Here is a 14,157-nt window from a genome sequence, read left to right as displayed (position 1 = left end):
AGCCAACAACCTTCAGATATCCAGGCTCTGTCAATTCCTACAGGGGTCAGGCAACACCAATTCCCTGCCTTCAGTCAAAGACTGATACACTGGTGGCAGTTGATCACTTTGAAACAGCACTCCTTTTATCTGCCTCTCCTGCAGGATGCAGGCTCCCACACGTTCCTAGGGCAATGGAGCTGGGTTGGCCTGATGCCTGGGAATTGGAGGAATATATTTCAAAATGGAAACTCATCCTTTTTCCCCTCCTTCTCCCATGTCATGTTCCTCCTCTAGCCTTCCTCATCCTGATTAGCAGCCCCCAGGAAATCCACCGGTTTTTCAAGCATGAAACTTGAGTCATCCCCGAACGTGCTTCTCCCTTACCCGTCACAGCTAATCAGTGATCAGGACCTCCCAATTCTCTCCCCTCTACCTCTCTGTCTACACTGCCATTACCTGATCCCAGAAAATCTTCCTCTCTCACTTTGTCTATACAATGGCCTCCTTACTGGTTTCTCCAGTACCCACATGGCCCTCTGCAAACCATTCTCCATGAAGCTGCCAGAGTGATCTCTTTACAAAGCAAATTGGGTCATCTTATTCCCTTCTTTAAGAACCTCCCACACTTGCTTCCATTTGCTCAAAGATGGCAATCAAAATCCTCAGCATGGCCTACATAGCCACATGGTCCAGCTTCATCTCACACCAGTGGCCTTGCCAATTATTCAGAAGTTCCTCAATCACACCGTATCTTCTCACATTCAAGGGCATCTACACATGTTCCTCCCTGTGCACAGAATACTCTTCTACCCACTCGTCCCCTAATCTTCCAACATTCGTGATCCTGTAGATTTCTGCTTAATCTCTACTTCCCCTTTGTTTACCCCCAGGGTAGGTGAGATACCCTTAGAGAGGACTCCCATACCTCCATGCAATTCTCCTGTCTAGAACACACAGCTAAAACATGCTTTAGTCATCACTAGCTGACCGTGCCTCCCACAGGTCCAGGTACACAGGAGATGCTCAAAATACATTTGACTGAGTGGAATCCTCCAAAAATGAACACAGATTCACCCCAAGTGCCCATGGGAGAATCTCTCCTCTGAGGAGCATCCTGAGTCCTGGATTCTGCCTGGTGTTCCGGCATCTGAGGCATCAGCCTGCTCCTTCCAGCCCTCCATTACACTCTGTATAGTCCCACAGCAAAACTTACTTGACTTTTATCCAGGTACTTCAATTGGACCTAAGCCAGATGCTTTTACAGTAGCACATGCAATTCCTGGTTTACCGAGAGGGGTGGTATGTTAAACCTTCCTGCTGGTGGATTTTTAATCACCTAGCCTTCTGTAAGACTTCTGTAGCATTCCTGCATCCCCCCCTTCCAGGAATCCCTGCTGTGAGACATCAAACAGGGCCTCTATTCAGAACATTGACCACTGAGCTTAAGGGGAAATAAGGTAAAGGAGTTTAAAAATACCAGGGCCTACTTCTTTTTCATTAACATCTAGAAAGAAAAAAACTATACAGAAGATGCAAACTGTATAGGTAATCAAGATATGGGATTATCTGTATCTGTTCTATCTTATCTTCCAGATAAGCAGGAGCTAACTGCAAATAAAGTTAACTGAAAGACTTCAAATTTTTTTATAAGTTTCTGGACAACCTCAGCCTCAGTACTAAGTTAATATTTCATAAAGTGCTTTCACTTGCTGGCTTCCACCCTATTTTCTGGAGATTAACTTCTGAAGACACCAATCAACTCTACTGTTGTGGCCCCTGGTACACGAATCATAATGTGAAAAGCAGCAAGACAGAAAGCTCGAAACATTCACCAATGTAATTGCCATCCATAGACTTGTTAGACTTTCTGCCATCACCATCACCTTCTTCTGGAAACTCCTTTTATTCACAAGGTTTATGTCAGGTGCTTCCAGAGACAAGGGAAAAATGTATTTATCTTTTTTTTTTTTTTTTTTTTTTGAGACGGAGTCTCGCTCTGTCGCCCAGGCTGGAGTGCAGTGGTGCGATCTCAGAGGCTCACTGCAACCTCTGCCTCCCGGGTTCACTCCATTCTCCTGCCTCAGCCTCCAGAGTAGCTGGGACTCCAGGCGCCCACCACCCCACCTGGCTAATTTTTTGTATTTTTCATAGAGACAGGGTTTCACCATGTTAGCCAGGATGGTCTCAATCTCCTGACCTCGTGATCCGCCTGCCTCAGCCTCCCAAAGTGCTAGGATTACAGGCATGAGCCACCGCGCCCGGCCTTGTATTTATCAATCAAAAATAAATGCATCAGATTATTCTGCTTCTGATAAAGTTGGAGTAGCTAGTATCAGACTAAGCCTCCCACAAGTAACAAATAGGAACTCTGAACAAGATAGAAAAAATAGCTCTGCATAGAACGCAGGACACAAAAAGTGAACCACAATATAAACTGTGAATGTTAGTTCATAATAATGTATCAATATTGGCTTATCAATTGTAACTAATGTACTATACTAATGTAAGATGTTAATAATAAGGAATGTATGAGAACTCTGGCCTTGCCTCTCAATTTTTCTCTTAACCTAAAACTTCTCTAAAAAATAAAGTCTATTGTTTAAGATAATAATAGTAACTTTAAAAGCCCTGGAAAGAGACAAAAAACAGGCAGAGATTATGGGAAGTCAAGCTTTGAAAGAAGGGAACTGCTCTTGGTGAGGCTTGGGTGTGGGGCATCTCGTCTGGCAGCACAACCCCACAGGCACAGTGCAGGCTGGCTGGAGCTCAGGCAGAAAAGCTCACTCTGACACCCTGGGGAGTTGGATACCAGAGACGGGGACAGCCAGAGGAGCTTAAAAGAGAGGGCAGGCAGGAGGGAGTCACAGAGGGGAAGCCTCCAAAATCATGTGTAAACCCCAGCCAGGTCTTCAGGACCCCAACTGTGCATGTGCTCAGGAAACTCCAAGGAAACCAGCAGAAGGGGACAGTTGGAAAAACAAGAAAATCAAGTGGAGATTTTAACTGCTCCCCACCTCAGAGGAGGCAGATTTAGGATTTATGACCAGCCAAGTTAACTATCATTAAGAACAAGAAAACATGCTTCAGAAGAGGCTAGCAGAATCTTCTGCTATGGGTCTGTAAAAGCCCCAGTGACTAGCTAGCGCAGGCAAGGCCGCAGGAAAGGACAGGGCCCCCAGAAATAGGCATAACGTAAAGGTCCCTGCCTCTGCTGCACTCCCAGCTCTCATCTCCTTTCTGAAGCTGCTCAGTTCTACAGCCTCAGCACACAGGATACAACATGTGAGTTTCAGGGGTAACTCCCTTCTTTTACAGAGGACAGTGAGGCCCAAAGCAGTTAGCAGATGGCAGAGAAGGGGCTCAGTCTCCCTCAAGCTCCTGGCTTCTAGTCTAGGACCCCTGCATTCTTCCAAACTCTCTCCCTTGGGGGTCCCAAATGCAGTCTGGTCTCCCTGTCTACCTCCTCATATCCCGCTGGTCTCCTGGTCATACTGTGTCCTCTCTCCAAAACACACAAAAGCATAAAGAAATCTGATACCCTGGTCGTGCCTAGAAACCCCCAGCTGAGATTGCCCATCTGAGTTAGTCCCTGAACCTATCCTCTGTACTGATAGCTTCCAGAAACAGAGAACCAAAGGAGCTTTCCAAAGGACTGTCCAAAGGGAAAGCCCTTCCCTGCCTGCAGAAACTGCTCTTGTGCACAGCTGAGCGTCCTGCTGAGCGGGATTATGAATGTGACCAGGGTGAAAGTTCTCGCCTCATTTAGCATGGAACAAAGCAGCATTAACTGCAGCAGCAGGAGCGGCCCCAGATTCCGGGGCACACACTCAGCCAGTGACCTCCTACTAAATACTCTGGGGGAGGGGAGGAAAAAGAGAAAAGTTGCGTCAGGGTATCCCACTCCCCACTTGTGAGGCTTGCTCGGGGCTCTCCAGGTGCTAGGGTGTAAGGGACGTGGGGATAGGGACTCAAAGCGCCCATGTGGACATTTAGCAGCATCCTTGCTCTCAACTGCAATCAAGAGAGAAGCCTCAGTGCCAACCCCCCCACCCACCCCTCACATACACCAGAAAAGCTTCCAAAATGCTTGAAATGCAGCTGCACACCACGTCTTCATTTATTTGTAGTCTAAGAGGAATGAGGCACTTATATTTCTTCCTCTCTCTCCCAGCCCATCTGAAAAAGGAAGCACTATTTGAAGGCCATCTGATGCAACTGTGTCACTATTGATCAGTAGCTCAGCAGGGGCCGATGAATGTGCCGGAGATCACAGCAGAATCCTTCCTGCTCCTCAACATTAAGGGGCTGGGTGCAAAATGATTGCGATGACTTGTCTTTATGCTAATGCCATGCAATTCTCTAAAAGGGACAGAGGGTAAGACAGAACGATCCAACCAGCGTGCCCATGGGGAGGCTGTGTCTTTCAGTTCTTTTAGTCTCCATTAGCAAAAGCTTAGATGGGTTGGCCTGATTATTTCTATTATGAGGATCTGAGGGGTACAGCAAAGAGGAGAGAAAAAAAGCAGGAAGACAGAGAAACTGTTCTGGCCTTTCAACTATCAGCTCCTGAATAAAAGCTTCAGCTTGGTGATTAAAATCTCTGGCTCGTGTCACAGAGGCAGGTGTGAGGCAGAGGCCGGGCTGTACCCTGGGCCGGCAGCACTTTCTGCCATGCCTACCTGGGATGCTGACTTGGCCAGCAGGTTATTTTCTCCTAGGGAAAAGAAAAGAAAAGAAAAGAAAGTCCAACACATGGTGTGAGGCAAAGGGATACACTAACAAAGGCTGTATGATCATTAAAATCATCACCTGTATCAGGTAAACCAGGAATGGATAGGTGAACAAAGAACACCAGAAAACCAATAAGGAAGTCAGATCCAATGACAGAGTTTAAGTGACCTCGAATGTGATTTGATCTAACCCTTCACTTTATAGAAGGGAAAATCAAGGCTCAGAGAAAGAATGAAAACGTAGCTTGTGAGTGGCAGAATCAGAACCAGTGTAGGACTCCCTACCCTGTACCACCATGCTAATACTTCAGTAGGAAATAAGTAATCAGGATGAACATAAGCCAATGCCCCAGCAAGGGCTGGTTCACTACATTAAACTCAACTTGAGCTAGATGAGGATGCCTGTGTATGGACACCCAAATGGTCAGAAGGTCAAAAACACATCAGTGAAAAATGGTGGGGCACCAAGACTTACAAGGAATGGACGGGGATCCCTATTTGGTTCATCTGAATGACTTTGGGAATGGAATTAAAGGCACATAAATAAAAATGGTGCCATGACACCGAAGGAGGGAAATGGTCATCCAACTACTGGAGAACAGTAAACTGAAGAAATGAGAAGGCTGTCAGATGACAATAGAGAGAGATCCCTTATTCTTCACATGAAGAACGAAAGCACTCAGCTTTGCGCAGCACCAACATCCTACACCTCCTAAATTCTAAGTACTTAAACTCACCAAGCCTCTGTTTCATTCATGAAATGTACCTAGTATCTGTACTACCTACATGTCAGGGTTGTCATAAGAATCAAAATTAGATGGGCCAGACATGATGGCTCACTCCTGAAATCCCAGCACTTTGAGAGGCCGAGGTGGGGGGATCACTTGAGCCCAAGAGTACAAGACCAGCCTAGGCAACATAGGAAGATCCTATCTCTATAAAAAATAAAAATGAAAAAATTTAGCCAGGTGTGGTGGTACACGCTTGTAGTGCCAGCTAATCAGGAGGCCATGGTGGGAGGATCGCTTGAGCCCCGGAGGTCAAGGCTACAGTGGGCCATGATTGCACCACTGCAAATCAAAATTAGATAATGCAGATCAAAGTTTTATAGTTTAGAAAATATTATAAAATCATAAGGAGATAATATTCTTTGTATTATCATGTTCTTGCTTTGTGAGCCAAGAAGATCCTGAAGGTACAGAATTTGTAGCTTTACCATAATAGCCTCCTTGAATTCTCATAGACTAATAACTGTACACAGAGTGAGGTGATCTAAAATGCCAGAGTAAATGGAAGGGCAGAATCAAGAAATTAGTCTCAACAGAATCAAAGAGGAGTGAAGACGGAAGTGGTGAATGGCACAAGCAGAGTGTTACCAGTGACCAGACCACAGAGACAACTGGCAAACACCCCCACCTGCCACCCCTCATCAGGGAATGGCTAACTATGACACTGCTCACAGAACCTCATGGGATGGGCTCAGTTTGAGGTAAACACCCTGTCACATTTGCCTCCGACTGAGCAAGTTGCGACCAGGAAAAGCCTTCCTGGAGTTGGGAATGTGGGGTCTGCAGTGCAGTCATTAATCATTTGTCAGCCTCACTGCTGAATGAAACCCCACAAATGAGTAAAATTTCCAGATAACTGGCATGTTCCCCACTTAAATATAAAGTTTTCTATATTTTAAACTCTCTTGATTAGAAATCTCTCTAAAATATATTCCACGCTGTCCTAACAATCGAGTCTCTATAAGCCAGAATAACCTTTACATACATCACTTAACGTGTAAGTTACAAGTCAGCAACGACCCTGCAAGGAATGGCTCCAGACTACTATTAATACTACACCTTTTGAGTCCTTGAAGCTGATTTTTAGGATTTTTCTAAAACTTCCTACACTGTTAGCAGAAAGAAAGATGACAATATGCTACACATGCTTTCGCCTTTAACAATGCCTGTCCTCAAATCCTCAAGGAAGTACTAGCAAGACAAATTCGGCAACATACAAAAAGGATCATACACAATGATCAAGTAGAATGTACACCAAGAATAAAAGGTTAGTTCAACATATGACCATATGTTCATCTCAACAGACAAAAAAAACCCCACATTTGACAAAATCCAATACCCTTTCATACCCTTTCATGATTTAAACACACACACACGCAGAAACACACGCACACCAAATTATGGATAGAAAGGAACTTCCTCAAACTAATAAAGGGCTTCTACAAAAACCCACGTCCTATTTAATGGTGAAAGACTGAATGTTTTTCCTTTAAGATCAGGAACGAGATAAGGATGTCCACTCTTGTCATTCTATCCATCTTCCTTACAGAGCCACTGTAAAGATTAAATAAAATAATACATATGAAGTGATTGGCATTTAGATCTTCTGTCAGCTCTACATCTAAGTTAGTTCTCCCTGTTATACCTGGTTCCACTTATCAGAGTTGTGAGTTAATATCTGTTTCTTAGATTAACTGTGTCTCTCCAAACTAGACTGCATTGGTAGCTCCAAGGTATAACTGTTGTTGTCACCACTGTATCCTGAGCGCCCAGTACAAAGCTTGGCCCACCAAACAAATGAATGGACAAATGATAGCTTTTCCTGTTTTTAAGCAAGAAATTTTAAGATGTTTTCTAGTTCTTTACCTGCCTTCAGGCAGTCCCACTCCTCCTGCACTATAAAGACTCCATCATATTACCCAACTTCCTATGGTGATCCACCCAACAGTCCTCATAGCAGAGGAATTAATCATTCTCATTAACATCGGCAGCAGCATCACAAAACAGCAACTATTTTTGCAATGATTTTTCAGATAAGGTAATCCAAGTAAGCTAAAGGGAAGTAGAAAGTCTGAGAAATTAAGTCCCGGCATTAGTTCCTCTAACCAAAAGGTGGAAAGAAAGAGAGCAAGAAAAGCCACAAAATAATCAGAGAAGTCAAAGAGAAAAGAGTACACAAGGGCGATCAGTGAAAGGAGACGGAGGTGAGGGGCACACATGGATGATGAGGACAGATTTTCCCAGAAACAAAGAGGGAAGAGAGACATCAGCACTAGAAAGTAGCTCCAAGGTCTTTTGGCCCCACATCTTGTTTTACTCCAACAAGGCAGGACTGACTAATGTTCAATGATCAGGAGTCTTGCTCAAGGTCACTAAGTTACAGAATCAAAGTGAGAGAGGCTATGACCCAGGTATCCTGGCTTCAAAGCCAATGCTCTAAAAATAAAAATATATATTAGAATCACATGAAAAGTCTCATTGGTTCCAATTCCAGCTGCACCACTTTCTAGCTGCTCTATGAATTTGAGCCATCTGGTCAACCTCCCAGCACCTCAGCTTCATCATTTATGAAGTGAAATTTTGCAAGATTACCAGTGTGATTAAATGAGACCATGTAGGGAAAGCACCTAGTATTTCACATTGAAGCTCCATTCCTTTTTTAAAAATTACAGAACACTTTCTATTTGCCAAAGATAAGGAGGCAAGAATAAAAGAGACTGTAAACAAACAACCTACAGAATGGTAGTAAATATTTGCAAACTTTGCATCCGACAAAGGCTTAATAACTTAAATCAATAAGCAAAAAAACAAATCCAATAAAACGTAGGCAAAGAACATGAATAGACACTTCTCAAAAGAAGACATACACAAGGCCAACAAATGTAAAAAAATGCTCATCATCACTAGAGAAATGCGAATCGAAACCACAGTGAGATACCATCTCACACCAATCAGAATGGCTTTTGTTAAAAAGTCAAAAAATTACGGATGTCGGTCAGGTTGTGGAGAAAAGGGCGCGCTTCTATACTGTTGGTGGGAATATAAATTAGTCCAGCTACGGTGGAGAAGTCTGGAGATTTCTCAAAGAACTAAGAGCTGAACTACCATTTGAGCCAGCAATCCCATTACTGGTTATATACCCAAAGGAAAATAAATCATTCTACCAAAAAAGATATATGCACTGATATGTTCATTGCAGCATTATTCACAATAGCAAAGGCATGGAATCAATCCAGGTGTCCATCGACAGTGAACTGGATAAAGAAAATGTGCTACATATGCACCACAGAATGCTACACAGTGAAAAAAAGAAAGAAATCATGTCCTTTGAAGCAATGTGAATGCAGATGGAGGCCATTTTCCTAAGGGAATTAACACAGGAGCAGAAAACCAACTATTGTAGGTTCTCACTTATAAATGGGAGCTAAACATTGGGTATACCCATGTAACAGACCTGCACGTGTGCCCTTGATTCTAATAATATATATAGAGATTGACCACACTCTGTCCTAGCAAATAAATGATTGTCTGGAGGACCTTGAATGAATACAAAAGGAACCAGGGAATAAAAAAGAAAGTAGTTGTGGATGAGAACAGAGGGCCTGCAGGCAAAGGTCTTCTCTGGGACACAGAGAAATGCTTTAGAAAACAAAATTAAGACTGCAGGCCGGGTGCGGTGGCTCACACCTGTAAACCCAGCACTATGGGAGGCTGAGGCAGGTGGATCACTTGAGGCTAGGGGTTCAAGACCAGCCTGGCCAAGATGGCAAAACCTTGTCTCTACTGAAAATACAAAAAATTAGCTGCGTGTGGTGGTGCACACCTGTAATCTCAGCTATTCAGGAGGCTGAGGCATGATAATCACTTGAACCAGGGAGGCAGAGGTTGCAGTGAGTCGAGATCACACACTGCCCTCCAGCCTGGGCGACAAAGTAAGACTGCCTCAAAAGAAAAAAAAAAAGTAAGACGGCAACTCTGGCTGAGAAACTGAACCTGAAATCACACGGCTTGCCTCCCATTCTGAGAGATGCCAATGAAACACAGCAAGGGTACAGATTTGTCTGACAAAAGCTATTTTTAAGGAGAAACCAATATTTTAATAAAGATTGTTTTGTGGCGAAAGATTCAAATTACATACCACAGAGCTAAACAAACATCCCTGACAGAAATCCCTGTTCTTCCTACAAAGGGTTATTCCACTGCACCAGTGGCCTCATCTCCCTTTCTCCTCCTCTCGTAACAAAGCCTTTTCAACACTCCCTCCATATATCCCATTCAACAAAGCAAAATTCTGGAAGTGAGCCTCTGAGAAAGCATCCATTGTTCCTCCAGCACTGAGATCTGTGGACATCCTGTCATCAGTCCTTTCCCATTCACAGGCTATCTGTAAGCCCCTGATAGATAGTGTCTAGGCTTGTATCTGGAATGGACAGCAGGGTAGAGCTCCCACCCACAAAAACAAACAGGAAGCAAGCCACAGGGCCACATTGGCTTCCAACCCAGAGACCCCTGCAATCCTTCAGCACCAAACAGAAACACAGTGTCTTGGTGGTTAGAGCCTTGTGGTCTTCAACCACCTCATCCCTGGAGTTCTGGGATATCCCAAGAAAATAACAACTAAGGAGGGAATGAGGTCAAAACCCGGGATGGGCTAAGAGGTAGACACTAGGGCGGAGTGAAATACAACATGCCCCAAGCCAGAGCCCTCATCCACAAGGGAGCCTTCTGCCAGATGCTTACCTATTATGAGGTTTGTTACTCAGGTGTAAGAAGCAAGGGCAAGGGCAGTAGAGGTGGAGGTCAACCAGGAAGCATCTGCAAGTATAGTTAGGTTGACCAACCATCCCAGTTTGCCTGGCACTGCCCTGGTTTTAGCAGTGAAAGTCCCACATCCCAGGAATCCCTGGCCCTGTGTGAACCCCTGCTCTGGCTAACTGCCCTAGGTGCAGTGTCCCTTCCCCTTCCTCGAGAATGGTTTCACTAGCAAGACAGTAAAACACCCCTGGCACACTAGGGGTGCCACAGGTGCTGCCTGTAGCCTTGCCAGCTAAGCACATGACCTCTCTTAGAGAAGGGCTTTCTCAATGCCTTGGCTCCTAAGTGAAGTCATGGAAAAGTAAGGAAGAAACGGGTGCTGAAAAAGCAAGCTCAGTCCTTCTGGATGGCCCCCAGGCAGACAGGAGCCCAGGCCTCTGGCTCCAGCTTGCCAGGGTCACAGAGATGTTCTTCAAAAACTGGCACTTGGCCTCACCAGCTTCTCCCTCCACTATCTATCCAGGATGGATCTGGGGAACCAAATGAATAAAATTAAATGCTATGCAAGGGTATAACACAACAATTATTAATAACCTCATATTAATTTCAATGTATGTATTTTTATACAAATTCTAAAAACTGCAAACTCCTCCCACCCATCTCCACAAAGTCTTATCCTCTTGGGCCACTCTGCCCACATTTACAAAACTAAGCCAAAGGGAAACCACGTATCCCACCATCACCACCGCCCCACTGCACAACAGAAACTTAGACTAACTGCAGTCTCCTAAGAGACCTTGAGCAAGGACCACCAGGCTATGCTTTTTTCTGAAAACCTGACTCACAGAAACTATGAGAGAATAAATGATTATGATTGCTTTAAGCTGTTAGGTTTTGAGGCAATTGGCTACCAATACACTGTGCATATCTGCTACACCAACTAGAGTTATTTACCAAATCAACAGATTATGCATTTTTAAAAAAAGGTGTCAATGTATCCTGTTTCCTGGGGTTACATTTAACATTTAATGTGAGGTACTGACAGTGGCTTCACTGACCACACCAGCACCCCCTCTTACCCACCTAGTATTCTCTCACAGACCCATATATGCTTACATACACACTCCAAGCCAATCACCGCTTGCTTGCTTTCTGTTAAGGAGGTTGCTCTGTCTGTGGATTCCTAAGTGGCTATGTAGGAAGGATAGCAATATGAGCAGCCACAAGAGAAATGCCCGTCTAGGTATACAGCAACACAGCGAGACCCAATTACATGTGTGTGTGTACGCATGTGCATAACTGAAGGCTCAAGGGAGACCCTGAGCAACCACACAGGAGACAAGGCATGAGTTTTTTCATCCGTCAGACAGCAGAATGAGGAGCAGGCAACTGAACAAGAAGAAGATGGATTTTGAAATCAAGCAGAGAAAGGGCAGAAAAAGATCCTCACATACAGATTTCTGAAAAGAAAAACAGAGCTCTGAGGTTTACTTCTAAGTGCCTCAGAGTCCCTGGACTGCCTCAGCTTCATGGCAAAAAAATGGTTAGCAACAACACTGTGCTGATCCCAGACAGCAATCCTAGAAACCATGGTGATGGGTACCATTAACTCTGATCAATAGATGGAAAACCTTCCAGAGGCACACGCCAATCCAGATCCAGTTAAAGTGCAAGCAAACGGCAAATCAATAGTGCTGCAGAAGTGCAGAGGGACAGACAAACGGCTCACAGGGTGGCAGGAGTGGCCCAGAATTTGAATGTGCTTATCAATGTGGCTGAGAGGCTGAAACTGACAAAGAAGAGATAGATGGAAAGAAAATGTTGAGAAATGGCATTTTTGCAGGAGGCTGAGTGCAAATGCAAATCGTGCTTTGTCTCCTAATCTGTGACAGGGGGGTCCATCAAAGACAAAGTCAAAGAAGCAAACGAAGATCAACTCCAACTCTCAGCTCCTACCTCCACTAAAACCAAGGCCCAAGAGGACTGAGGGTAGAACGGAAATTCAGAGATCAAGTACCAAGTTGACGAGGATCTCAGAATCTTCATGAGCAAGTCCGAGGTGCTTTTCATATGAGTCACTAATTCCTCAGCAACAGACTCAGAGCTGCTGCACTCTGACCTGCACTCTGGTTGACCTGATGTATTACACCTCTTTCTAAAATACCAGAGCATGTTTGGAAGGGCAGTATTCACCCCAGAAAAGCTAGGAGGTACTTCTGTATGCTCCAAGGCAACTCCCTTCATACTACAGCCAGCTGAGAAGCAATTTTTAAACAAACACACAAAAACACAAACATCTCACTGTGGTTCTTCCACCAACTTGTCTCTAAACTTTGGCAAATCACCTGACATTGAATTTCCTGTCATGAAAGGTAGAGAGTACCCTATTTACCCACCTCTGCAGCACATGAGAAAAGAAAAAGGACACATCTGGAAAGCAGTGAGAGAATGAGAGTAAGCCCAGGGTATCATACCAGCAAGACAGAATCTGAAGTTCTAATTTTACATTCTCATTTCCAAAAACTGCTGCTGGTTCTATGTTTTTCCATATGATACGGTAATCTACAAGACTGAAGCTCCATAAAGAAAAGAATGATGTCTTGCATTTCTTTTGTATCCAGCCCAATACTGAATACATGGTAGGTATTCAAAGAATTAGAAGAGGTTAGATAAGATTAAGGGAGTTGGAGGATCATGAGCCTAGATCTATATCATAAAATACTTGGTCAAATAACACCATACATTAAAAAATAAATAAATAAATAAAGAATCCCCATCTCAGTAGCTGTTTTCCTGCCCCAGAACTACCTTTCTTTATTATACCTCTTCAAATTCTACCCCACTTCAAGACACAGCTCAAATTGCATTTTCTTCCCTGTGAAGCACTCCCTGACTACTCCACACCATAGCAGTACCCTGCTCCTCTGAAGAATGATGTACAGCATTTGTTGAGGCCATTTTTATAGTACTAACTCGGGTTATTTCAATGTTTTCACTTGCTTCTATAACATAGCTTTCACTAGACTCCCAGAATCTCAGGATTCTAAATTGTATTATACACCTAAATCATATTCCTCTACAACACTAGACAACAGTTGTACATACACAGGAAAGTCAATAAAAAATAAATTTTTAACAAATTTTTTAAATGCTTAAAATTCCCACTACAAAATAATCAATTACAATATTCCATTCCTAAACAAATTTAAGTAACATGGGTGAATCAAATGAAACGTGGTCCACTACATGCACAAAGTTCATTTAGATGGAGGCCTTTAATGTTCCCAAAAGTAAGTCAGCCTCTTTGCCACTTTTGGTCTTGAAATTCACCGTCCCCGAGTTTCCAGAGGTCAGAAGTGTTCAAGTCACCCTCATGCTTTAAGGCAGAACCCCAGATGGTGAGAGTAATTGTATTACAACGCAAACCTGGGTCTGCAACCTCCCTGCACAGACCTGGCTGCCCCCTTGGGAGATGCAGAAGGCTTCTGCTTCTCAGGGTCCAAAATAAATGCCAGTTCTGCAGACAGAACAGGTGTCCCCCCATCAAGATTATATCCACAAATCCAGGACATTTGTACCAACTGTTCCTGTCCTCCAGTACTGGAAACCTTCCAGAATGAGAAATAAATTCATCTTCCCACAATTCCAAGAGCCTGTCTTTCCCCCTTGCAGTATATGAAAGTCGAAAACCTTTGCAGATACTCAGTATCCACACTGTCCTTGAGTAGCCTGCATCCTGACATGACCCAGCCAGTCCTTCCATCAGCCGGCAACCAATACCTCTGAGGACATAAAAAACAAAAGACATGACATCTGTCTTCTAAACGTTAACAGTACACATAAAGAGAGACATATGATTCAACAGTGACAATGTGCTAAGGTCACTGCTGTAATAAGGTTAT

General features: G+C 43.9%; 1 protein-coding gene and 1 long non-coding RNA gene across 4 annotated transcripts in view, besides 3 other annotated features; one reads left to right on the top strand and one right to left on the bottom strand.

Annotated features, from left to right (window-relative positions):
• The window catches only part of NOS1AP (nitric oxide synthase 1 adaptor protein), a 300,785-nt gene that overhangs the window by 221,182 nt on the left and 65,446 nt on the right, over positions 1-14,157 (bottom strand). The gene's annotated exons all lie outside the window — the stretch shown is intronic.
• LOC105371475 (uncharacterized) overlaps positions 1-14,157 on the top strand; it is a 61,354-nt gene that overhangs the window by 25,927 nt on the left and 21,270 nt on the right. The gene's annotated exons all lie outside the window — the stretch shown is intronic.
• Positions 3,725-4,439: an enhancer, noted in NCBI's record as "OCT4-NANOG-H3K27ac-H3K4me1 hESC enhancer chr1:162114645-162115359 (GRCh37/hg19 assembly coordinates)". NCBI's record gives its function as "activates a minimal SCP1, AML or CMV promoter by ChIP-STARR-seq in naive H9 embryonic stem cells {active_cell/tissue: H9 hESC(naive)}" and the evidence as "EXISTENCE:reporter gene assay evidence [ECO:0000049][PMID:30033119]".
• Positions 4,041-4,335: an enhancer, noted in NCBI's record as "tiled region #2282; HepG2 Activating DNase matched - State 5:Enh, and K562 Activating non-DNase unmatched - State 22:ReprW". NCBI's record gives its function as "activates a minimal TATA promoter and a strong SV40 promoter by Sharpr-MPRA in HepG2 and K562 cells {active_cell/tissue: HepG2 | K562}" and the evidence as "EXISTENCE:reporter gene assay evidence [ECO:0000049][PMID:27701403]".
• Positions 11,797-12,996: an enhancer, noted in NCBI's record as "CDK7 strongly-dependent group 2 enhancer chr1:162106088-162107287 (GRCh37/hg19 assembly coordinates)". NCBI's record gives its function as "activates an origin of replication core promoter dependent on BRD2, BRD4, P300/CBP, MED14 and CDK7 cofactors, with strong dependence on CDK7, by STARR-seq in HCT116 cells {active_cell/tissue: HCT116}" and the evidence as "EXISTENCE:reporter gene assay evidence [ECO:0000049][PMID:35650434]".

This window comes from Homo sapiens, chromosome 1 (assembly GCF_000001405.40).
Source record: "Homo sapiens chromosome 1, GRCh38.p14 Primary Assembly".
NCBI lineage: Eukaryota > Metazoa > Chordata > Mammalia > Primates > Hominidae > Homo > Homo sapiens.
This window is presented reverse-complemented; position numbering and strand designations above follow the sequence as displayed.